Consider the following 26,677-nt stretch of genomic DNA (forward strand, 5'->3'; position numbering starts at 1 on the left):
TCAGATCTCCTGATAACTCATTTCCATGGGGAGGGCACCATTCATGAGGGATCCGCTCCCATGACCCAAACAGCTCCCACCGGGCCCCACTGTCAACACTGAGGATCACATTTCAACATGAAATGTGGAGGGGACAGACATCCAAACTATATCACCTCCATACTGTTTTCCACAGCATTCCCACCAACAGTGCACAGGGGTTTCAGTGTCTCCACATCCTCATCACACTTGTTATCTTCTGTTTTTGTTTGTTTGTTTGTTTGTTTTTTATAGTAGCCATTCTCATGAGTGTGAGGTATTAACAGTGTCTTTTGAAGATCAGAAATTTCTAATTTGATGAAGTCCAGTTTATCATTTTTTTTCTTTTCTGGATCATACTTATGGTGTCATACCTGAGAAATCTTTGTGAACCCAAGGTTACAAAGATTTTCTCCTGTGTTTTCTCTAGAAGCTTTTTTGAGGGAGGAAAGGGAGGTTTCTATTTTGGATTAGCTTTTGGATAAAGTAAAAGGCATGGATTAAAGTTTATTTGCATACGTGGATGTCCAGTTGTTTCTGCATCATTTATTGAAAAGACCATCCTTTCTTCATTGTTTTGCCTTTGAACCTTTATTAAAAATCAATGACTATATATATGTGTGGGCCTATTTCTGGATTCTAATCTCTCCTTAAATTTTGATCGCTTTCCTTACTGTGAAGCAGTGTTAAACTTAGGATAGTACCAGCTTTCCCTCAGAAGTAAATTTTTGGTCATGATTTAAACAGAAGAGAAGATGAAAGCGTTGGACAATCTGTCAGAGCAGATTTATTCTACATTTTGCAATTAGGGGGACTCTGAAAGGCAAGATGTAGGACTTTCTTCACTCTTTATTTTAGTCACTTACCCAAACAGATTTTGTATCGTGTATCTTTTTTTCAGGTTTAAAATTGGGGCTGAGAATTTCTTCTAATACTGAGTATACTTATACAGAAAGTTAATACAAAAGCATAAGATAAGATAAATAAGCATTTGAGTTTAAACTGTAATTATGCAATAGTATAAAAATGATGACTGTCTTAATAGGGTGTCTAAGAGAATAAGGGAGTTGCATGTCACTAAAACAAAAATAAATGTACTGAAGCCCCAGCTCTGCAGAGAGGGCCTAGGGTCTTGAGGGTGTGTGGGACACCTTTCTGGCCATCCAGAAAAAATCTACAGAAAACAAAGAAGTGGTTACACTACCCAAAACAAAAGGGAAGAGCCAAGCTTTTTCTCTAAGTGGCTTGAGTTCTATCACCACCAGGTAAATAAATCAGGTGAAACTTTCCTAAGAGTGAAGTCTTCATTCAGGAAGTATAACCCAGTTCATATAGAGATCACAATTCTGATGGCCAACAATTTCAAGACATCACTTAGAAAATAATGTAGAGATGGCCAGAGTCCCAGAGTTGGCCAAAGACTGGACAAGTGGCTAACATCCTTTTCTACCTATCTGCCTGTCTCATCAGGGCTCTCATTCCAGACAACCTCCAAGGGGCTGCTGAATGTAAATTTCTAAAGCACAGCTCTGAAATGTTGGATTAAAGATGTTTCTCAGTGACCCCCAAAACATGAGTTTCACAGCATGTAACCCTTCATAGTCTGGCCAAAGGCCACCTTTTGAGCCTCCTATGCGGGATTCTCCTTCTGTGCCACTTGTTGAGCCTAAACACCATTTTTTCACTTCACTGTACACTGTACATATACTGGTTCCTCTTACTGAGATGGCTTTTCCCTCATGTACCTGATAGGTGCTTAGTTTTCCTCTGAGATCCCCTCAAGTGTCACCTTCTCTTGACACCTTCCTGCAGTGCTTGTGCAGGATGCAGCAAATAGAGTATAAGGATGTGGGCTTGGATTTGAATCCCAGCTATATCACTTAAGAGTTATGTGAACTCTGACAAGTTATTTAATCTCTCTGAGCCTTGATTTCATGGTAGTGAATACCTTATAGGGTTAATATGAATATTAAATATTATTTTATGTATACATATATAGTACAAAGTATATGAGCGTTTAATAAACATTAATTATTATTAATACTATCTCTTATTTATTCAGTAAGCATTTCTTGAGCACCACCGTGCTATTCAGTCATTCCAAGTGCTTGGGATGCATGTGTGAATAAGACCTTGCCGTTGTATTTGAGGTATTTAAGCACAGTGCTTTAAGAAAAGGATATATGCAAAGTGCCATGGAAGCTATCATGTTTTTATGACTACAGTGTACCAAGTAATATTATATATATATAAAAATAAGATATATATATATATATCTTATTTCATCTTCCAAAAGCCTTAAGATATAGGTATTATTTTCTCCCTTTTACAGCTGAGGAAACAGTCTCAAAGAGGTTAAGTAACTTGCTTGTGATGTAGTTATGCACCTAACAAATAGTAGCGCCAGGAGGCAAACCTAGTCTGTCTGACTACAATGTAAAAATGAAGCTTAGATAGTATTTGGAGACTATTACAAGCCCTTTCATAGTATTTGGAGACTATTACAAGCCCTTTCAGATTTACATCTTGAAAGATGTATTTTTCCAAAAGATGCCACTTTTGCCTCTGTCATGGGCAGCATATTTAACAGAATAAATTCTAAGCTCACCCAAGATGACAGTCCACATTTCCTTATAATGCACGTTATTTTGTTGTTTATAGAACAAATTCTGTTTCCTTGAATCTTTTTGTTAACCCTTGACTGTCTTCATAATCACTTGTGTACTACGAATCGTAGAAGTGAGAGAAAGAATTTGTAGTAAAGGTCAAGAATCCAATAGCATTTATCTCTGAAATTCTGGGAGAAATGATAGGCCTCACTCTTACCACTTACACACTATATCTAGGTGTATAACTAAATACAAATGGAGTTTTGAGATGTTTTTAGAAGGAAACTGTGCTAAGGAGGCTCTTAAAGATGCTTGAATCTCATTGTATTGGTCAGAGTTCTTAGTTGCAAACCAGAGAATCCACTTAAACTACTTTAGATAGAAAGGAGTTTGTCAAAAGACGTTAGTGGCTTATGGACCCTCTGGTGTAGCCTAAGAGTCAGATTTGGCCATTTCACAGCAGGAAAAATGCTCAGCTACACCATGGAACTATTCTAGTGAAATATACTGCAGCTTACTTGCTCTTGAGGGGGACCAAAAAAAAAAAAAAAAGAAAGAAAGAAATGTACTGTGGCTCCTACCTGCTCATGTTTCAGCTTGGAAGAAGCTTCATAAGATGCTTGCTTTAATTAAACCTGGTGCTCATTTTCTAGGAACTATTAGAAATAAAAAGAGGCTAGTTCTTATAGGCCCCTTGATTCTCTTTAGGTATATACTCTTTTGAGACCTGTTTAGAAGAGATCATATAAATACAAAATCCTGGCCAGGTGCAGTGGCTCACACCTGTAATCCCAGCACTTTAGGAGGCTGAGGCAGGCAGATCGCTTGAGGTTAGGAGCTCAAGACCAGCCTGGCCAACATGGTGAAATCCTGTCTCTACTAAAAATACAAAAATTAGCTGGGCCTGGTGGTGGCTGCCTGTAATCCCAGCTACTCGGGAGGCTGAGGCAGGAGAATCGCTTAAATGCAGCAGGTGGAAGTTGCAGTGAGCCAAGATCGCGCCACTGCACTCCAGCCTGGATGACAGTGCGAGACTCCGTCTCAAAAAAATAAAAATAAAAATCCTAGATAAATAAATTGATACATGTTCAAATAATGAAATTAAAAGGAAAACACTAACATAACATCTACTAACATGGCTAAAACTAAAAAATGTAATGTTGAACAACAACAAAAAACACCAAGTTCCATAATACATACAGCATGGTACCATACATATAAAGTGTGAAAACGTGCAAAAAATAGTTTCTATATAGTGTATGGATATATATGTGTGTTGAAAAACTGAAAAAAAAAATGTTTACGCATGGTGAATAACAAATTTATAATAGTTATTTTTGGAGAGAGAGGAAAGGAGGGATAGGGATCAGGAAGGGGTACACAGGGAGTTTCTGTTGTATCTCTAATGTTTTGCTTTTTATGAACTGTTTTCTTGAAATAAATATACCAAAATGTTAAGATTTGCTAGAGCTGGGTAGTTCAATATATAATTGTGATATTTATTCTCTGTATGTTTAATATTTCATAATGAAAAATATTAGGCCGGGCGTGGTGGCTCACGCCTGTAGTCCCAACACTTTGGGAGGCAAAGGCAGGTGGATCACCTGAGGTCAGGAGTTTGAGACCAGCCTGGCCAACATGGTGAAACCCCTTCTCTAGTAAAAATACAAATATTGGCTGGGCACGGTGGCTCACGCCTGTAATCCTAGCACTTTGGGAGGCCGAGGCGGGCGGATCACGAGGTTAGGAGATCGAGACCATCCTGGCTAACATGGTAAAACCCCGTCTCTACTAAAAATACAAAAAATTAGCCAGGTGTGGTGGCTGGTGCCTATAGTCCCAGCTACTCGGGAGGCTGAGGCAGGAGAATGGCATGAACCCAGGAGACAGAGCTTGCAGTGAGCTGAGATCGCACCACTGCACTCCAGCCTGGGTGACAGAGCAAGACTCTAACTCAAAAAAAAAAAAAAAAAATTCAAAAATTAGCAGGATGCAGTGGTGCACACCTGTAAACCCAGCTACTTAGGAGGCTGAGGCAGGAGAATCGCTTGAACCCAGGAGGCAGAGGTTGCAATGAGCCGAGATTGAGCCACTGCACTCTAGCCTGAGTGACAGAGGAAGACTCCGTCTCAAAAAATAATAATAATAATAATCCTGGACTCTAGCTGAGTATTAGGATAAAATTTTAAAAATATTACTGCCTTCACATACAGATGAACTCAAAAGAAGAGGTTAAAATGCAGTTATTACATTTAGTTGGTTCTTTCCTCCAATAGGAGAGTATTCAGGAAGATTGCCAAAAAACTTGGTAATTGAGCTTTCCAAAGGGGGTTCAGGTGATCCTCAGTGACAGTTCAGGCTGTGCCAGGTATGCACACTGGAGCCACGTCAGACCCCAGTCTTAATATGTTTCTCTAAGGTGACCTTCCAAACAGTGTTCTACGTGCTTGGTTTGGAGCCAAGTTGGTTTTGTGTAGTGCTCTAGCCACAAATGGTTTAACATGTTCTATTTACAAACGTGTAGCCAGATAGTATGGGTGTCATCAAAAGAATGATTTGCCAGTTCTACCTTGTTATCATGGGAATTTATTTTGGGAATAAAGAAACTGAATGTTTAGTCAGGGCCTTTATACAAAGCAAAGTGAAATCATATTGGAAAGAGAACAAAGACATATGTGAAATGGAATATTAAGAAGAGTCATCTTAAAAGAAATCCAGTTGGACCAAGTGTTTGAAGACCTGTGGCATCCCCAGCACAGAAGCTCCACTAAGGCTTTAAATTGTTGGGATTTCCACTCGGGCTGGAGCACTGGCTCCCCCGTGGTCTAAGCTGCCACTATCACTGTGTCTTTAGTGTAGGAATTTTTAACCTGGAGTCCACAGGTTCCCAAGTGGTCCACGAATAGAATTCAGGGAGTCCATGAACTTAGACAAATATTACATCTTAATTTTCATTGACCTCTAACTAAAACATGGCATTTTTCTCAGTTATGAAGGTAGGCAACAAACCACTGTAGTACTTAACAGTGCTGGTGACTTTATCATCATGTTCAAAAGAGGTTGGCCTGTGATTTTCCTCTCTTTAAACGTCCTTGTGAGGTCTTGGTATCAAGGTTATGCTGGCCTCAAACAGGTTGAGGAATTTTATTCTCTGGCAGAATTTGTGAACAGGTGGTGTTACTTCTTCTTTAAATACTTAGTAGAATACTTTAGTGAAGCCCTTTGGGGCCTGGAATTTCTTTATGGGAGAGTTTTCAAATGTAGATTTAATTTACTTAATAGATACATGATTGTTCAGATCTTCTCTTTCTTCTTGTATTTGTTTTGACAAGTTTCTTCTTCCTAGATATTTGCCCGTTTCATCTCTTTTCAAAATAATGAGTGAAAGTTGCTCAAAATATCCTCTTGTCTTTATAATGTCTGTAGAATCTATAACAGTGTCTTCTTTTTCATTCTTGATATTAGTTAGGTAAAAATTGTAAACATTAACAAAACTCAGGGTCCTTAAGGGTTTAGGGAAATGGTCACTATTGATAGGAGTCCAAGTTATACAACTTTTCTAGAAAACAGTGTATATCAAACATAAAATGTTAGTATATTTCATCCAACAACCCCTTTTAAGGAATTTGCCATAAGTAAATAATCTCACAGAAATATTCAACACAGGATTACCTATAATAGCAAAAAATATTGAAAAAAATCAATAGGGGACAAGGAAGTAATTAAATTCACTAGAATGCCCTCATGTTATAAAACATAGCATATTGACATGGAAAAGTGCAAGGGACATATCGTTAGTTACAAAAAGCAGGTTGCAGAAGAGCATATACAGTGTAGGCTCTTCTGTGTTGAAACATATACATCAATATAAATGAATATGTACATAGAGAATGGTTTGGAACCATGGTTATCAAAATTCTAACAGCAGTTATCTATGAGTGGTAGGATGTTGGGTAGTAGTTATTTTCTTTTTGCTCTTCTGTATTGTTTAAGATGTTTGCATGAGCATGCATCATTCCTACAAAAATAGCAAAACTTTCTAAAGATCTTAGCAGTTTGCAAGATGAGAGGGTGGTAGGGGAGGAGAGTGTCAAAGCATTTTTGTTGCCTCCTGAGGAACAGTCAGGGAAGGAGAGTTTGGAGCTGTAAGAAAGAAGGGGTAATCGGCTGAGTAAAGCCCTTAGAAAGATAGGAGGGCCTGTACTCAGACACAGAAGTTACCCTTAAAGGGACAGGACAATATTTCTTTCCAGAAAGGAGGAAAAGATGATTGAAGATATGGAGAAGTTCAGAGCTGGAGAGAAGGGAAAATTAGAGTGTTCATAAGCCACGGCTTCTAATTTCTTGGTGAAATCAGAGGTAAGACCATTTGCCAGGAGGTGGGGGTGGGAATCAGAGTAGAACAGGGGTCTTGAGGAAAGTGATAAGAGTCTCCAATAGAACTGACAGCAGGAAAGGGATTTGATGGGGTGTGGGCAGCTGAGTTGATCAGAGGCCTTACTGGAACTATAAGCCCGCATTTTTAGGGAGCCCAACAGAGCATGATTGGTATGGAGTTAGAGGGTGGCCCAGCAGGCTTCACAGAGCTTCAGAGGATGAGAGAATTCAGGATACTGATAAGGGCAATTTAAATGATTGGCTTTAGAATCCAAATCCTTGGGAGAAGAGTGAATTAGAGATAGTGCCAAGGACTGGATAATTAATTAATTAGTTGGAATATGGGTATCCAAGAGGCCAAAGGATAGGAGTTTATGGCCAAAGTGGGGTTTCAGAGTTTGACATTTTATAGGAATTCTGGGCAACCTGGAGTTTAATAGGTAGCCATGGAAGTAAAGGAACGATCATAGAATGTGGGTAGGTCAGAGGGTTGTGTTGCTGGAAGTTTCAGTGTTCTTCCTCATGGATGAGAGCATTTCCCAGGGAGGTGACAGGAATTCTTTTGGAGAAGAAGATTTTGAGGCAGGTAGAGATTGTCTTCAAGGATGGAAAGAAAGTTGACTCCTCAGGGAAGGCTTGATGAAGAGACCTAGTAGTGTCGTGGTGTGAGCTACTGTGGGGTAGCAGGAAGTTTGCTGACCCTCTCTCCCAAGGCTGGGAACCTGGACCCTGGCAGAAGTCTCTCTTCGAGGCTGAAGAGCAAAACCAGGTTTGCAGTACCAGAGACTGGCAGGAAAAATGATCTGGAAACGAAGAAGAATGCTCTGCAGAAGCTTCTTAGCAAAGGGACAAGGGGTCTGGGGTACAGGTGAGCAGGAAAAAAGATGTGAGAAAGTAGGTTCTGAAGAGAGACAGACTAGTGCTAGGAAGGGCTGATCTGCAAAGGGGTGGAGATTTATATGCAGGTTTTCCAAAGGAAATGCCAAATGGTATATTTCTTTTAATCACAAAGTAGTGTCTGCTTACTACAGAGAGAACTGAAACTACAGCCAAGCAAACAGCAAAAACAAGTAAACAAAAGAAGCGTAAGAACTACCCACAATCTCAGGGTCCTGGAGCTTTTCCAGTTGACATGTTCCTCCCCTCCATTTCCCACTGCCACAGCTTCAGGTCAAGGCCACAAAGGCCACATTGCTTTTAGAATGAGCTTGTGCTCTGGTTCCCAAGTGTCTCTAACTGAGCCCCCAGGGCTGCCTGAACCCCACCCTTCACGTCCTACTTGGGCTGCCAAAGTCATCTTCCCAAAACATGACTTTTCCTCAGTCACTTTTCTTATTAGATTTTATCATATTCCACATCCCTTCCCTGGCCCTCAAGGGTGCCTGTAACCTAGAACCATCTTACCTTTCCACCCTTGTTTCCAAACCTTCCGCTTTACTTAGACATGCCTTCCCATTTCCCTCCCGACCCACTTCCCTCACAGCCTCACATCTGGGTCTCTGTCCCCTCACTAGGATGTCTGCCCTATCACAATGACCAGTCCCATCCAGATTATGCCAGTTGTCGAGGTCCCATACCCTACTTTAGCCCATAGTGATTTTTGCCCTTCCAGTTACTCATCTGATCACCCCTTTTAGGATTTACATTAGTTCTGTTCCAGTAAAGGCTTAGGTAGGAAGCACAGGATGTAGAGCTGAGTTGAACCTATTCCCCTGATCTTACTAATGAGGTGCCTGATATTCAGAGAGACCAAGGGACATCCCCAAAGTCAACCAGCAATCCATTAGAGCTGAGCCTAGTACCTTGATTCTCAGACATGAATGCTACTTGTTGAATTGAAAATTGCATTCATAATACATCTCTTCATAGATTCCTGGCCAGGAAGCCCCAGAGACCAAAACAGTGGTTATCAATATTTAGAATATATCAGATTTACCTGGGGAGCTTTATCAAAATCCACACTCCTAAGCCCAATAGGGGGAAACTCTGATGTGGTAGGTTTAGGGTAAGACCTGAGTATTTCCAAGAAAACCTCCCTGGATGATCCTGACACAGGGAGCTTTCAGATCATCCTTTGAGAAAATCTGCTTTAGAGCTCATTCTTTGGTTCGGCTTTCTCTTTTGAGCTCACTGATATCATCCCTGTGGACACTGAAGCTTTTCTGAAGCTTTCTCATCTCAGGAATTGGTTTGGGTTACTCTACAATCAGATTTCCATCCAGGATGTCACGGCAGTGGCTCAGTACTGCAGCCTGTGTACCTTCTCAGCCAAACTGGCCTGGGCCCAAGCTTGGGCCAGGTTATTTTTCAAAGTACTCTTGGGCATACTGTGACACAATATTGAGCATAGTAGAATTCTTGTGGGAAACGCTCCGTTTGTCAAGGTGTTTGTGAGCACCTTCTGAAGTGTGGATGCCTAGCCTCTGTGGCCTGCCAACTGTCTGCACCACAGGTTAACCAAACCCAAACTGTCTGCACCCAAGTAAACCCAATCCAAACATGAGCCTTGAGCTTGCCAAACCCCAGCACATGGAGACCTGGGCCAGGATTAGGAGGTAGAGAGGCAGTTTGTATAGTGATGAGGGCAAGGCTCTGGGGCACACTGCCTGGGTTTGTATCCCAGTTCCACGGTTTCTAGCTGTGTGACCTTTAACATGTTTCCTCATCTATAAAACAAGAACTCAAACTATAAAAATAATTATATTCTACAAAATAAAAATAATTCCTAGCTCCCAGGATGGTTATAAGGATAACAAATCTATGCATGTGAAGCGCTTAAAACAGTGTTTGGCGCATAGTAAGTGTTCAATAAGGGCTTGCTATTGTTAAAATTATTTCTTGAAAACTGGGGTGAAATACTTAGACTGCAAAGAGATAACTCAGTATGCGTCTGTGCAGTTATCAGTCTAAAAGTTATCAATTATCTCCTGGTTGCATGCATGAGCATAGATCCGAAGAATGACAAGCGATATAGTAATAGCTCCTCCAAATGCTGCCTGGACCTCTGAAGACAATTTAAAAATGCTAGGTATTTCCCAGCAATAAGGTCAAGCCTTGCATAATTTAAGAAATATACAGCAATTCCACATTTTGGTGCTTTGATAAGGTGGCAGTTACATAACAGGCTGCAACCACGCAGATGAGCAGAGCCAAAGGTGGGGGAGAGGGTGTTCTGAAAAGATGTGTGAGTGTTGGAGTGAAGGCTGTGCGAGATGAAAGACATGGCAGCAGTTACAGTCTTCATAAAGTTTGGGTCTGAAGGATCCACGCATGCCCTGTGACATTATAAATGGCCTGACAGCAGGAAAAACATCTCCTGACATTTACTGTCAGGCTAACACCAATGGGAGGAATGAAAGTTTGCCTTATATTTGTCATATTACCAATGTTTTCTTATTCCTTGATAATGTTTTTAAGCTAAAAGTAAGATTGCATCAGTCTCTAAGGTGACACAAAGCTGAATTTGTCTCTAGAATTTATATGTTTTATCAAACTTTTGCAAAAGACTCAACTTAGAGTGTTGCCAAAGCATCACCTTCCTGTATCACGTTGCCAAGTTAACTTTTCTTGATGCTCCGACTTAGTGGTGCCATTCTCCAAATTCCAAGTACAGGAGAGCCCTAGAAGGGTGTCAGAAAGCAGGTTGCAGTAGCTTACTTCTGTTTTTGGGTAGGAGATGCTGGTCCGTGAGCACTCAGCAAGTGATCCTGTGTGCTAACCACTAAAATACTTAGACCACCCTGTTTGAGTTGTATGATATCTCTTTAAAAGGGAACTGACTGGTTTACATAGATTGCGTAGTATTTATCATAACATAATGCTCAGACTTTTAGAGACCAGAAAGCCAGTTTGTTTGGGGGACCATCTTTAGGCCTAGCATCATCCTCATCTCCTAGAAGTGGCCAGAATAGCTTGGTTGTTGCCCAACCTTTTTGGATATGATGCTGTAGCTGGGGGCCTTTAGATCCAGGGGTAAGGAGAGTGCTAAAGGGCACTGCCACCAGCCAGGGCAGGCTGAAAGCTTTGGCTCTGCCTCAGCACTTGTTAGCCTACCATTTTCCTTAGCAAGAAGCTGCTGTGGAATGAGTTCCTGGGAGTGGATGAGGCCCAGGTAAGCCTTGTTGGATTGAAATGTATAATCTTACCTCTGGGTCTTTTAAAATAAATCAAATTTTAATATTTACAAATGATAACAGAATTTGGAATGAAGATTTTCTTTTTATTGCTGCCTGTCCAAGCACCATGGGAGATCAGAATGTTAGCTTGATGGCTGAGTAGCAGGCAGTAAGCAGGGAGGCCTTAGCTAGCTGTAACTTTTATTTATTCATGTACTCCCTCCTCAATACAGGACGTGGACCACACTGTGCCGTAGAGGGAGGACGTTGACATAACACGATCTGACCTCAAGCCCTTATATATAAGGCATTAATTTGGATATCAAACTGTTTGAAATTTTTTGTAATAAAGTTTTTTAAAACTTAGCACATTTGAGGATAAGAAGGAGATCTTGGAAAATAAAAATATCACTAACTAAACAATTATAAAATGTAATAGAAGGGCTAGAAAATGAAATCGGCGGTTTCCAAAAGGTAGAATGAAAAGATGAAGAGACAGAAAATAGGGGAGAAACAACAAATAAAACTTTAAATGGCACATCCAGGAGGTTCAATATCTGGCTAATAGGAGTTCCAGGAGAACACAGAAAAGAGAGAAAAGGAAATTATCAAAGAAATAATGTGAGAGAATTTTCAGAACTGAAGGTCAAGACACTCTATTTTGAAAGATGTTTTCAATCTAGAGGCCAATACAATGAATGGAAAAAATTAGCCACACCTAGGCACATTATAATCGACATCCCAAATGCCAGAAATAATCATAAAAGCTTTTGGAGGGGGAAAACTTGTCCCAAACAAACTGATGAAAATCTGAATGCTATCAGGTTTTTAAACATCAATACTGAAAGCTAGAAGACAGAATAAAGTCAGTAAAATTTGGAGGGTAAGTTATTTTCCGTTTAGAATTTTATATACAGTTGAACTTTCAATCAAGTGTAAAGACAGAACAAAGACATTTAAAAATCTGCAAGGACTGAAAATTTTGCTTCCTGCGGATTTTTTTCTAGGAAACAACCAGAATAAGTACTTCATCAAAATGAGGAAATAAATAAAAAACAGAGAAACAGAACCCAGGAGCCAGAAAACCAACACAGGAAAACAGCCATGAGAAGCCCAGTGGTGTAGGCCCAGCTACTTGGGAATTCCCAAATGATCTGATATAACCGACCATTTGGAAAATCACACATGTGCGGATGCATGCACACTCAACGTATGCGCGCACACCCACACAGAGTTAAGGCAGGATATTTGGAAAAATTTGAATATAGATGCATAGAATATTAAGCAAATGAAATAAAGAGGGAATGTTAACTGTAAGGGAGTTGTACAAGGGAAAATAAAACAAAACTTAGCTTTTTAATGAACAGTTCTTACAATATGTAAGGGAAGGGAAAATGTGGTGGTGCAAAAGAGCTAAAATGTAAACAGTTAAACAGGAAATTAATAGTTGAAGGATAAAATAGAGAAATCAAGAAATGACAATATTAGTATATTTGGTTAAAAAAAGCTAAAAGCTTTGAAAGTGTTTGCCTCAAAGTAGTGGGTTTTAAAATTTTTTTTCAGCAATTTGATTTAAACCATGTGATTTTGTTTGTTTTGATAAAAAAGTAAAAGTTAAAAGTTTGACTGTGAATAGAAAACTCAAACCAGTATCATCCAAGAAGCTTTTGCCACCACAGGCGTCGCCAGCATGGTGGGTAGAGCACAGAGTCTCCATCAGATCCAGGCTCCGTGCTCTGAGGCTCCTCCTCACAGGATGTCCTCCCTGTCTGTTGGCAGGTAACTGGGCTATCTCCTGCCAGAGCCATACCAAGTTTCAGATGAGGTTATAAGGCTGAGCGGGAGTGTATACCTAATAACAGGAAGGGAGGAAAGAGGAAGGAAGGAGAAAATTTCCTTCATAGATGGATTTAGAAAACGGTTTTGCCACCTTGTTATTGAGACAACTCCAAGGAAATTCTATCTGAAATCCACTCACCAGCGGAATATGGCATCAAATGACAATTCTACTTCACTGTCTGAAGCTTGCCTAGTATGACACAAGAGTATATCTCTAGGCCAGCCCCAGGGGTAGAGTTAACCAGTGGGCACACTAGGCTCTCCCATGCCTACCCTGTTCCATGCTGGGGTTAGGATATGGTTCTAGGCTGACTTGATCCAGTAATCAGTCTAGAGAACAGAGAATGAACCAGATTTCCTTCCATCCCTACCCGTTACCCAGGGAGTGACCTTTCCATACATCACCACCGCTGACCTACAGTACCTTATATATCTGGGATCTACCCCAAACCAGATTAATCCATGTCTGGGCTCACTGTGTGTCTGGTTATAATTGGACCACCCAGACCACAGTGATATTCAAGCAGCCATTCACTTCTCTGTACCCTACTTCTGTTGACCAGCACTGGCTGAAAGCAGTGGTTGTGAAGGAAAGGGCCCTTCTACTCCTACGCACAGGTGTGCAGGGCACCAGGCCAGCTGCAAGCGAGGACACAGCTGTTTGTGGAGACTGTGTGCATTAAAACCCAGACTGTCCTCTTTTACTGCAGGCTTAGAGTGCCGTTTTATAGTGGAAACTGTTGTACTGAATTCCTAGTAGGGAAGGACCCATTTGCACTTAAAATTAGTTTTCATTTAACCTGTTAATGGAAGCATTTTTTAAAAAGAATATCTTTCATTTTTCAGATAGTGAGTCACTTTCTTAAAATGTGTTTGTTTGTTTATTATAGAAGCAGTACATGCTTGTAACAGGTTGAAACAATAAAAAATTTTTAAAAAAGGATTGCCATCCCTCACCCTAATTCTATCCATAGAGAATAAGGATGATGTACTGGTCCATAGAGAATAAGGATGGTGTACGTGTATATCTGTCTGTACAGCTTTGTACAACATATATATGTGTGTGTACATACATGTACATACATGTACACACATATATATGTGCTTATGTACTTTACAACAGCTATAACAATACATATATAATCATTTAATAAAAATGAGATCAATACAACTTTTGTTTCTGTTGACATACATTGTAAACATCTTTTAATATCAGAACCTACAGATCGGCCACATTTTCAGGAATATTCTTTATATGGATGCACCTTAATTCATCTATGCATCTCCCTACTGATGAACACTTAGGTTCCCCAGACTTTTGATAATTAGTATCAGTGCTGCATTAACACCTTTAACTCTGAAGTCAGACAGAGTTAGTTCAGGTTCTAGATACTCAATTACTTACTTTAGCAAGTTATTTAAACTCTCTGTGCCTCAATTTCCTGATTTGTTAAATGGGAATAAAATTGTTCTCACAGTGTTCCTATTAAAAAAGGCTAAATGAAGGAATACATATAAAGGCACCTAACATTATAATAATGATAGCTAACATTTATTGACTACTTACTATCAGCCAGGTACTGTGTGTAAACAAATACCAACTGTTTTATGCTTTAGTCTTATAACATATTTTTTTAATACCTGTAAAGGCATCATCACCATTAAAATGGCATTAGCTATTTCTATGCATTTACTCCTCCAATAAATTTTAAAATCAACTTTCCACCTACCTCTCATCAATATGACAAGTTTTTTTTTTTAATCCAGTTGGAATTCTAAAGGGTATCTCCACTTCTGAAGGTTGCCAGAGTAGAAAGACCCTTAAGCTTGAGTCAGAGAGAACTGAGTGTTCTTATGGTGTCCCTCCAAAGCCACGTGACCATAAGCAGTTCATTTAAACTCTCTGAGCAATTGCACTTTCCCTACCTGTAAATGGGAGGGTCAATCCTTACAGAAGTGGGGGGGATAGTATAAGAAAGCTGGAACGATGTCTGACAATAAATACTTAATAAGTGTGCTTGCTTCTGAGGCAAGTGTTTTTAATTTATCTTCTGGTCCTTTGTCTTCAGCACCATTTTCAGTGGCAGCTCTAAGGTGATCTTTAGGGAAAAGAGTTTGAGAGTGAGAGCAGCGGTGAACATGCAGGATGAAGTTTAAGGCCCCCACTTCCTCTGCAAGGCAAGCTGAACATTTACAACCAGTGAAGATTAGCCAAGAGGGAGGAAAGGGAATTGGGACAAACATAGACTGTTCCATTGTGCAGGCATGTGCCACCAACCGTGGAGTGGACTTCCTGCTGCAGGACACAGCTGACCTTTGGAGAGTCACTGTCTGAGTGAGGCTGCCCTTTAGCAGGACAGAACACAGCTGTTGTTTGGATGTCAGAGGCTAGTTAATAACTGTGTTTGGCAATCAGCTTGGGATGTTAACAGCTTCTAGGTTTAAGGAAGGCCAGAAGAATAGTATGAAGGAAATCTTTGTGTTACCAACAGGTTCTTTGGTAATCTTTCTTTGAACAAAAATTAACACTTCACAGCAGCTTTAAAAAGTATTAAGAGAACTCATAAAAGTCAGAGCAGATGTGCTGGAGATCACACTTCCAGAGCTCTCTGGGGAACTATTTCTGGACTAACAAGTCCAACAAATGTGTTAATTCAGGTTGAGATTTCTAATGCAAATATTGACTCAATCTCAACCTTTGCAGTTAATTCTCCAACTCGAATGTGTCCTTTCAGGATACCTTGCCTGTTTTCTTTCTTTATGCCTAATCATTTGCCTACCCTTCATTTTGAAGGTGGTTAGCAGGTGGTTGTTTAGTGGTCAGTTCTACATTCTTTCTCTAGGTCTCGATAATGTTTAGAGGAATAAGTATAAATATTCCTTGATTTTCTTAGTGGTATAATTGCGGAAAAGGAGGAAGAAGAGATAGCCAGGGCGGTATAGACCAGTATAAATGATTCTCAGTCTTAGAGCAGATTACAGAAAAGTAACTTCTTGCACACTATTCAGTATTAAAGAAAAAATGGGTGACAGATTGTTTTGTTGATTTTTCCCCCCAGCCCACATGATATTTTTAATTACTCTTAATTTTTAAATGTGTTTTGAAGTTTGTATGAATTGGTATGCAAACTGCTACGTGGCTAACCATTAGTATAAAATAAAAAGTTTTGACTAAAAGATAATGTAAAGGTAATGTAAACTTAATGTAAAGTTCACCTTCATACTTGAAGGATATTTTCACTGGATATAGAATTCTGGGATGAAGTTCTGTTTTGTTTTAAGAGAAAAGATCTCACGGTGTCACCCAGGCTGGAGTATATAGTAGCACAATCGTAGCTCACTGCAGCCTTGAACTCCTGGGCTCAAGTGATTCACCTGCCTCAGCCTCTCGAGTAGCTCGGACTACAGGCACACACCACCTTATCCAGCTAACTTTAAAAAAAGTTATTTTTTTTTTTTGTAGAGACGAGAGTCTCGCTAGAGTCTCGCTATATTGCCCAGGCCGATCTCAAACTCTTAGCCTCAAGCAATTCTCCCACCTCCGCCTCCCAAAGCACTGGGATTACAGGCGTGAACCACCAGGCCCAGCCAAGTTTTTTTTTCCAAATGCTGTTATAACGATCTCCTGGCATCCTTGGTTTCTGATTCAAAGTGAGTGGTCACTGGAATTATTGTTACTTTTATGTAATGTATAATTTTCCTTTGGCTACTTTCAAGATTTTCTACTCTTTATCTTTGGCTTTCTTTATGTTTATCTTGCTTAGACTTTATTGAACTTCTTAAATCTGTAAATTTAAAGACTTTGCAGCCATTAAAAAAATATGTTTTTTCTGTCCCATTCTCTCTCTCTTTGCCTTCTGGGACTATGGTTAAACCTATGGTAGACCTTTCAATGTTGTCCTACAGGTCTGAGGCTCTGTTCATTTATTTTCAATCTTTTTTCCTTTCTGTTCTTCAGATTGGATAATTTCTATGAATCTATCTTCAAGTTCACTGACCTTTTCTGTTATCACTATTCTGTTAAGCTCATCCAGTGATTTTTAAAATTTTTCACATATTATATTTTAAATTCTAGAACTTTCAGTTGGTTCTCTCTTATACTTTCTCTGCCAAGGTTTCCTATATATTTCATATATTGCTTTATGCCATTGAGCACAATTATAATAGCTATTTTAAAAAATCTTATCTGCTAATTGCACCGTCTAGGTTATCTTGGATTCTCTATTGACTGTCTTTTTTCTTGAGGATGGGTTGCATTTTCCTATTTATTTGTATGTTAAATAATTTTGGATTGTATTTTGGACATTGTGCATATTACATTGTGGAGACTCTGGATTCTATTATATTCCTCTGTACAGGTTTTCCGGGAAGTGAGGGGTCGTTGTTTATTATTGTTTCTTTTGTTTTTTGCCATTGCCAACATTCAGCTTGGTTGAGCTAAAACCACAAACTCTGTCTCTGAATCGAGGCACTACCTCAATTCTCGGCTTAGTTATTTTATCCTTAGCTAGGTTGCTTAGCGTCTGCCCCATGCATGCATAGTTCAGTGGTCAGCCAAAGATTTGGGCAGTTTTTACATAGAATTTGGGGCTCTCCCTTTCTGGCTCTGTACTTTCTGGATTCTCCCCTTTCACTTTGTAGTGGCTGTGATTGTCCCAAAGTCTGTCACCCAAGCACTACATGCTGTCTATTGGAGTTTTAGCCATGCAGCATGGCACTGGTGGCAGCCTGACACCAGGCTGAAAGCCATAAAACTGAAAAACATATCTAGATCTTTTTCCATTTTCCAAGTGTCATTCTCCCCGCTCTGAAATCTGCTTACTGTCTATCTTTTTACAGTGCTTCCAGGTAGTTATTTTTTATATTTTGTTAATAGTTTATAGTTTTCTCCAGGAGAATCAGTCTAGGATGGAAAACCTAGTCTATGGTAGAGGAAAAATAATCAAAACAGTAGTTTCCTATAGAGAAGTAAGAGTTTTTACCCAGGTATATATATTTGTCAAGACTCAGTGAATGTACACTTAAGATTTGGGCACTTCACTGAATGTAAATTTCACCTCAAAAAAAACTAATAGTGAACTGTAGTTAATGACAGGCGTATGTTTGAACATTTACAAAATAAAATATTGAGAAGAAAAAGTGAAGTAAAATTGTACTTTTTGATTCCATGTACACAGAATTCCTGAAATGCAGTTGGTTGAGGCTTCATTGGGATCTGCTTTTATAAACAGACAAGAAAAATGTGTTATGAACACATTTGTTCTCAGTTTCTTGAGCGCTCCTATAAACAAAGGGCTGTGGAATAATCAATCAGTAAGAATCAGATGTTTTCCCTGCCTTCTGGAAACTTGCAGCCTAACGAAGGATATGATACAAACATACAAATGATTGAATGCAGAATTTGATACATCCTCTAAGAGAGGTACAGACGTGCTGGGGTGTTGTTCAGTAGAATAAGCGCATATTAGGTTTGAGGAGCCACGGAGGCTGCATGAAAGAGGGGTATCTTAAAACAGCAGGACAGAGGGCATCACCAAGGGGGCGGAAGGATATCCAAGGTGCAGGAGTCTGTGTAGATGTTTAGAGTGATGTGAAAAAGAGCTAGAAAGGTAGGACCAGGGCCTTGAAAACCAATTTTGGGTTTTATTCAATAGATAGGTAGGAGACATCATGTCTTTCAGTGAGGTGGGAAGTGAATGCTTTAACATTGTGTTATTTTGTTATTTTTAATTGTTTTTGAGACAGAGTCTTGCTTTGTTGCCCAGGCTGGAGTGCAGTGGTGTGATCACAGCTTACTGTAACTTTGACCTCCCGGGCTCAAGGGTTCTTCCCACCTCAGCACCCCCTGAGTAGCTGGAACTACAGTCACATACCACCACACCTAGCTAATTTTAAAATTTCCTGTAGAGGCAGAGCCTCACTTTGTTTCCCAGGCTGGTCTTGAACTCCTGGGCTCAAGCAATCCTCCCACCTCGACCTCCCCAAGTGTTGGGATTACAGGCGTGAGTCACCATGCCTGGCCAACATTCAGTTATTCGTGTGATACTTAGAAATGCAGGACTTTCAGGTGGGACCCTGCCCCCTCAGCCTCCTCTCCCCTTCACTGTGAGGCTTTATTTCAGACACATCCTCTTGGTAGAGGGCCCAGGCTGGCACTTTAATTTGAAGGAGTTAGACTAGAGGCTCTCCACAGTTCTTTCAGCTCAGCATTCTATGATCTGATGGCTGCTTGAAAGAGTTGTTTCTTGCACAGATTAAATATTTCCTCTTGCAGTATTATTTTGCTCTGTTAGCCAACTCTTCTTCATAAAGTCTGGATTGTACTGTAAGATATACAGTAATACAGATTCGATATTCAGAGTGTCAGAACTCATGAGCTGTTGCTGTGTGGTGATGTTGTTTTTCACAGCTGTAACATTTTAAGCTATTGAACTTTCACGTTATGAAAAAAATGACTGTGCTGTTAAGCTAGATGGGGGCTATAGGGGGAAGCTTACCAAGTTTCTCATGAAGACCTAGTAGTTCTGCACATGTCGCAGGTAAGTCTGGATAATCCCAATTTATTTTACTTATTGATTTTTTTCCCAATTTAAAATGATACTCTTCACAGAATGCTTACGTCATTCTGCTAATTTCCAAATGCAAGTAGGATGTTAAAATTTTATGGGACAGTATAATTTCATTTCTTGAAAAGAAAATCTCTTACTGTATGAGTTTTTAGCCATCTTTCTATTATCTCTGATGTAGTAAGTGTGTTAATCTTTGTCTCAGAAATAAAAATCCCAAACAATGTATTGAACCATTGGGTGAGCGGTGAAAAGTTAACTTTTCATCTCTAAACATCCAGGCCTAGATGGACATCTGCTTGTGTGAAGAGTGAAGGCAGGATGCTGGAAAATTGTTATTTTCAGACCACTAGGGTCAAGCATCAGAAGTGAGAAAGGACTGATAAGCTGAAAAAGTTGTACGATATGGGAATGCAAACTTTTTGTGAGAAAAACAGAAAGAAAAGTAGCACAGAGCACTGCCATTAGTAAGTTTGCCATTGCCGTTGTGTGTGATAACTGGCTTAGACTTAGTTCCGGAAATCCAAGTGTGATTATTTTTGGAGTGCCGGTTATACACTAGAGAGCTCTGTCATAGAGAAAATGTGTTTATCTTTTATTCACTTTTCATCTTATTAGGGAGAAACCATGCCCTGACCTCATAAAAAGCATTTGAACACAAAGCCACAACTCTTCAAGTGCCTCGTATATTTGTCATCTGAGAACTGGGCAAAGATGGTCAATATTCACATTTATTGCCGGAATGAGTCCAGAGTAATTTCAGAAGCACCAGGGTGTTTTACAAAGAAGGTCTTCTGTCAGGGAACCCCAGAATGAAAGATCTCAGATCAGAGCTGCTTCAAAGAGGTAAGGATGTACCCCTAGGCCCAGGCCCCAGTGAGAGGAGAAAGGTACTTCTTCGTGTTAGCTGGAAAATGAAGAGTGCTGCATCAGAGACTTTCTTCCATTTTAAGAATACTGTACTGAAATGTATGCTTTCTGGCTGTTAGCAGACAGCATGTTTAAAAGCCACATATCATGTCCAAATAATAGCAATATTAGGTTGGACCACGTTAAGTTGCTGTTTTGCAGGTAAAGAGAGTTCAAATATTAGCAATATCACATGGTTTAACCTAGCAATAGTAATAATAATATTACTAGTGCCATCTATTGAGTGCTTACTACGAGCCCCGTGCCAAGAGCTTTACACACATGATCTCATGTATTCCATTTATAAAATGTTTTTTGTTGCTTGCTTGACTCACATTCTATTTGGTCACTCAGCAGATATTTACTGAGGACCTGCTAATGTGCCAAGTAACATACAACAATGATATACAACAGAGTTCTTGCCCTCATATGCTTTACTATGTAGTGAGGAGGGCAGGCAATCACAAGTGAACCAAAAAATTAATTAATTACAGATTATGTAGGTCTAGGAAAGCTATAAATAGAGAACTGTGATAGAAAATATCAGGGTGGGCCTAGTTTTATGTGTGGTCAGAGAAGCCTCATATCTTATGGGGAGAGATACCATTAAGGAGCATTCTAGGCAAAGAAAACAGCAGGTGCCAAAGCCCTGCAACAGGAAAATGCTTGGCATGATCCAGGAGTCAACAGGATCCCAGTGAGTGAATGAGGAGGAAAGAAACTTGAGATAAACTTGGAAAAGTAAGCAGGATCAGGTCATATATGGAGAGCCATACCAGCCCTTCTGTTTTGGAAAAATAGAGTTTGCAATGTCTGTGGGACTTCCAGGGAGAAGTGCTAAGTAGGCAGTGATACCCTGGGCTGGAACCCAGAAGAGCAGTCTTGGCTGGAGATGTAAACTTGAGACCTACAAGCATATAGATGATATTTAAACTCATGGGAATGGAGGAGCTCACCTAGGGAGAGAGACTAAACATTCCTGAGGAATGCCATCTTTTAAATTGTAAAGTGACTTTTCATGCCTTCAGTAACTAGCCCATCCTAAAGCCAGAGATCATAGGAAATCTATTCCTGTGGGCCAAGGGGCCATGCTGCAGTCTGTAGCACATAACCACTCTTACCCACCACAAGGGTCTGGTTCAAGGAAAGCCCCATGTGCAGGAGCTGCCAACTCATAGCCTGAATTACGACCATCCTGTGGGCAGAGGCAAAAAACAGGAGCCAATCAGGCTGCTTCCTCTAGAGTTTGGCGTTGAGAAACTGAGAGACTGATGATGTGGTGGCAAGTGAGAATTCTGAGCTTAGAAAGTCAGAAGACACGCTCAAACTGAAGGCATGAGGATCAGAGAAGATAGCAGAGAAGAAAGTGAGGAGGCCAGGACATTGCAGATGCTCTCAAAAAAGCAAGGACTCAGAGGGAGCCTTGAGTCCCAAAGACTCTTCAATTGCATTCACAGGCTATGTAGGCAGTTGCAATGGAGTATTGCAAAGTAGGTGTAGTTGTTAAAAGAATGGGCTCTGTAATTATACTTTTTGAACTCCTTAGCTTTGCTGCTTATCTCTAAATAACCTTAGATGAATTAGTTAACTTCTCTGGGTCTCAGTTTCCTCATCTGTAAAATGGAGATAATAATGGTACCTACAAGATTATACTTGTTAAAAGCTTGGATCAGTGGGGAGACCATGAAGTAGGTCATGTCATTCCATTTTCCCTGTGAGAAGACTGAGACTCTGAGAGGTTAAACAACTTGCCTGGGGCCTTTAATCACAATGAAATATTGCCTCCCATGAAAATGAGAATTTTTGTTGCCTTTGAGCTTTATCACTGAATTACACCTTGGGTTAGAACCAAGGAAGGAAGTTCATGTCATCGTCACCATTCTTGAGAGGAAGGCTTGAGTGTGAGCGGGGAGGGAATGGAGCTGGAGATAGTGTAGCTGAGGATGTTACACATCTACTCAAATTGTGAAAATTGTTTGGCCGGACATAAGGCAATAGAATTAGGCTGAGGGAATATCTAATACGAAACATGTATACAACCCCTGAACTGACATTATTCACAACTAGAACTAGCAATTCTTCAAATCAGCTTTCAAGTTTTAGGATAATATTTATAGGAGTTAGTAAGGGTCACATTTTGACAGTGAAGAAAATGTTTGGCTTCTATTGATACAAAGATTTGAAGAAAGAAAGGGAAAGTGTGACAGGTTGTGATATTGTTTGAAAAACTTATTTATAAGGACTTATGGTTATTAAAGGAACTGTAGAAATCTTATGAAATATAGAAAACGATAAAGATAAGTCATCCATAATATTGTTAACCATCATTGGCTTTTTAAGAGCTTTCTTGCCTTTTAATTTCTTATATATGTATATGGATAAATATCATGAGGAGACCATGGAACCTATCTCACATATATAGCTTAATATGCCAGCTGTTTTTTAAGGTACCATGAGAATTTTTACATGTCATTAAAAGTCCTTAGAGAACATAATACTTATTTTTATTATTATTATTATTTTTTTAGACGAAGTCTCGCTCTGTTGCCCAGGCTGGAGTGCAGTGGCACAATCTCGGCTTACTGCAACCTCCGTCTCCCAATTCAAGCAATTCTCCTGCCTCAGTCTCTCTAGTAGCCAGGATTACAGGCACATATCACCACGCCGGCTAATTTTTGTATTTATAGTAGAGACGGGGTTTCACCATGTTGGCCAGGCTGGTCTCAAACTCCTGACCTCAGGTGATCTGCCTGCCTCAGCCTCCCAAAGTGCTGGGATTACAGGTGTGAGCCACCACGTACAGCCTGAGAACATCATATTTAATGACTACAGAATATTAGTAATCATTAGTAGTCTGGGCAGGAAGAGAAATGTGTGAGTTTGCCAGAGTGCCTGATGCTCCCAGCTGGACCTGCTCAGCCCCCATCTCAGGGCCTCTGCCTTTCTGTGTATGCTCCAAAGGGACCTGGGTCCAGGTCAAGAACAGGAAGGGAGAACTCAGATCCACTGATCATGCCAGGGTTCACTCTGGCCTCTGTGTCTGTGCTGTTCTTCCCAGGGGGACAGGCAGCTCTCTGGGAATGGTAGTCCATCTCATTACACAACCCCTCTGCTCCCAGTCACTCCATAAACCAAAAAACCTAGCCCTTCCTCATTCTCCCTTCCTCAGAAACAGAGACACCTCTTTGTGAGTTCCCAAATTTTCTCTATTGTCTAAGGCACTAAAACAGATGAGCAATTAGTGGCTTAGACCTAATAATAGTAATACTTGACCTAAATAACAATGGCTCATATTTATTGTGCATTTACTATGATATGTCATGTGCTTTACCTGCAGCATCTTGTTACTTTGCAGACCTCTTGCTTTGAGAGCAGGAGGTGGTACCATCCAATGGAAATATGCAGAGAAGGCTCTAGAGTTGAACAGACCTTGGTTAGATCTGCAGCTCTGCCATTTACCAGCAACTCTGTGACTTAGGCAGGTGTATGCAACCAGAAAGGTATTGAGCTACACAAAAATCAGAAAACCCAACCACAAGTAGCTTAAATATGTAGGTAGTTATCTTTCTGACATAGTGAGAATTCTGGATGGAATCAGTCCAGGCTGATATGGTGACATCAGGGACTCATCTCTTATCTTCCTGCCTATACTATCCTTGGTATGTGGCTTTCATCTTCGTGGTTGCGAGATGGCTGCTGCATTCTGAGGCCTCTCCTCTGAGGGGTCCAAGCAGGAGGAAAAAGTAGAGAAGGAGGAAGGAGCAATTCCTATTTCAGAAGAGCAAATGCTGTTCTTGAAACTCTCAGCTTATATGTCAGGCCAGGACTATGTCTCATCGTCACCTATCTGTAAGCCAGGGAAAAGCTTTAGGTGGGCACATTGCCATCCCTAAGGAATCAGAGTTCTATTAGGAAGGGAGAAGAGTGCGTGTTTGATGGGTCAGTGGCCATCAGTGTCTATGCCAGCAAGTCATTGCATTTCTTTGAAGCTCAGTTTCCTCTGGTAATAATATCTCCCTATTCTAGTCAGGCTCTTTCAACCTGCAAGAGGTTACCTAGTTTGCCCCAGGGGATGGGAGCTCCTTGTGAAGATCTCTAAGGACATAGGGAAACTTGGTATGGGTCACAGCAACAAATAGTCCGTTTTCCATGGGTCTCTGTACTTCCCAGCAGGCCTGTGGGCACCTCATTGTTCAGGATGTGCCAGGAGTCTTCCTAGGTACCTCCCATCATGCCATCATTTTAGAATTGGGCATCCATGGCTCCCCTCCCTAGGGATTCCTCCAGATGTGGAAAGCTAATCTCTTTGCCCGCTTCTTCCTCTTGTTTCTCCTTCTCTGTCTGTATTCTCACCCCAACTGCTGTCTCTGCTGCTTCTGCTGCATCTCACATTCAAACCCCCCACAAGGAGGCAACATCTTGGGTGGGTCAGTGGCCTCCCACTGAACAACACTGCAGTTAGACAGAGTCTTACACCAGCCTGCCCCAGGGGTCACCGGTCACCCGTTAACTACAGGACACATTGTGGCTGCTTTCCTCAACACAGGCCTGTGGCTGTGGCAAGTGCTCACTGGATCCCACATCCTCTCCAATACGTTACTCAGAGAGTTTCAGATGCACAGTATTGCACAACTCTAGGGGGCAACATCTACAGTGAAAGGTATGTGAGCTGTGCTCCAAGAAACACCGTTCTGAAGTTGAATAACATGGTGGTGCTGGTCCCAGGTGGGCTTCAGTTGTTTGAGACTGTTTGAGGCTCTTTGAGATGGTGGTGGGCTTCTCATTATCTGGCAGCTAGAGAGCCAAGCACAGGCCTTGGCCTACTGGTATACTAAGCCAAGGGTAAGGGCACAGTGGAGAGTATGCGTTCTATGAAAAGATGGAGGAGAGGACTTGGGAAGGGGCAGCCGGTCCGATTGCTGGAATTCCTGAGGCAGACTTTGTTGTTAGAAAAGGAGGCTGCTGTTAGCTACACCTCTCATTCCTAGCTAGTAAGAGGTGAAGGACAGTTGTCAGGACAAATGAGGGAATATGTATGCACATACTTTGAAACAGCGATCCATTTGAGAGGCCTTCTTGTTGCTGTTATTACAGCTGCTGCTGCAGCAAAACAGCTTTGAACCCTGAGGTATGAGGCTGATTTTGGAAGCTGGGGCAGGGGGTGGGAGAGATTCTGGTAACACAGGATGTGTGAACTTATGTTCATTGACCAGGACCTGAGCAGGACTGATGAATAAGGGTCTTCTGTCTCCTCAGTAGTGGCTTTAGGTTATTGTGTAATTCTTGGGACCTTAGGGTCAAACAAGGATGTCCTTGCTATCACAAGGGTTATCACAAACATGTCCAGGCAGACAGTCAGCAAAGGATGTACCGCACCTGCCACACCCCTGCCAGACTCCTCTCAATTTGAGCTGTGAGGTGACTTCATAGTAACAGGCACAAGCTCAGAGCTTCTTGGGGACAAAAGCCCAGGAGTCCCTCTTCTTGTCCACCTTGCATTTCTACTCTTCCCCAGAGAAGCTACAATGGGTCAAGCGACTACCACTGTCAGGACAGGGTTCCTGCCAAGTCCATGTGCAGTTGCTTCTGGCTGGTACCAGGTCACCAGGCCAGCCTTTACTGCCGCTGCCACCAGGTTACTGACTTATTCAAGCAGTTCATGCAGTGGCTATTACAGTGTAAGCAGAAAATAACCAAGATGGCACTCCCCTCCTCACAGGATCCCTGCTGCACACTCTTGTGGCTTCAGGACTTCTCCTTCAACCTGTCCAAGGCTGGAAGGCAGGATAGTAAATCGTAACATGAAGAATTCTATAGGATAAAGTTGGCTCTGTGGGCTGGCTGCCTGTCAGACTGCCAGCAGAACAGAGCAGCCTTTCACTGAAACTTTGAACTTAATTATGTGACATTTGCACCTGAAGCAGAGAAGCAAGCCAGATTGCTGAGAAGAGCCAAGCTGGTTAGGGTTCTTTTCTTGGCTATTTAGCACCAGTTCCCTTTGAGGAAGGGTCTGCACTTGGCCCCTTCTTAGGCATCCAGGAGAAGGAGGAGTGGGGCACTCTATCAGGCATTGAGGAAAGGACCCGCCCAGTGGATGGAAGACCCTAGGGTACTGATCTCACCTGAGATGAGAAAGAACTTCACAGTGTGAAGAGCTGTACAAGGGAGAACTGGCTCACCAGGAGGTGGTGACCCATTGGATGATAAATGGGGGCACCTGTCAAGGGCAAGAGGTCCCCTTCCT

General features: G+C 41.0%; 1 protein-coding gene across 5 annotated transcripts in view, besides 1 other annotated feature; it reads left to right on the forward strand.

Annotated features, from left to right (window-relative positions):
* Positions 1–26,677, forward strand: part of CTDSPL (CTD small phosphatase like) — a 122,590-nt gene that overhangs the window by 15,979 nt on the left and 79,934 nt on the right. Inside the window, exon 1 of one of the 5 annotated variants that reach the window (XM_017005520.2) lies at positions 4,728–20,370. The exons of the other annotated variants lie outside the window; for them this stretch is intronic. Coding sequence (XP_016861009.1) covers positions 20,337–20,370 — 34 coding nt within the window. The 5' untranslated portion in view covers positions 4,728–20,336. Of the gene's footprint in view, positions 1–4,727; positions 20,371–26,677 lie in introns of those variants that run through there. 5 annotated transcript variants of the gene reach the window in all.
* Positions 25,751–26,477: an enhancer, noted in NCBI's record as "H3K27ac hESC enhancer chr3:37945100-37945826 (GRCh37/hg19 assembly coordinates)". NCBI's record gives its function as "activates a minimal SCP1, AML or CMV promoter by ChIP-STARR-seq in naive H9 embryonic stem cells {active_cell/tissue: H9 hESC(naive)}" and the evidence as "EXISTENCE:reporter gene assay evidence [ECO:0000049][PMID:30033119]".

Source organism: Homo sapiens, chromosome 3 (assembly GCF_000001405.40).
Source record: "Homo sapiens chromosome 3, GRCh38.p14 Primary Assembly".
In the NCBI taxonomy this organism is placed as follows: Eukaryota; Metazoa; Chordata; class Mammalia; order Primates; family Hominidae; genus Homo; species Homo sapiens.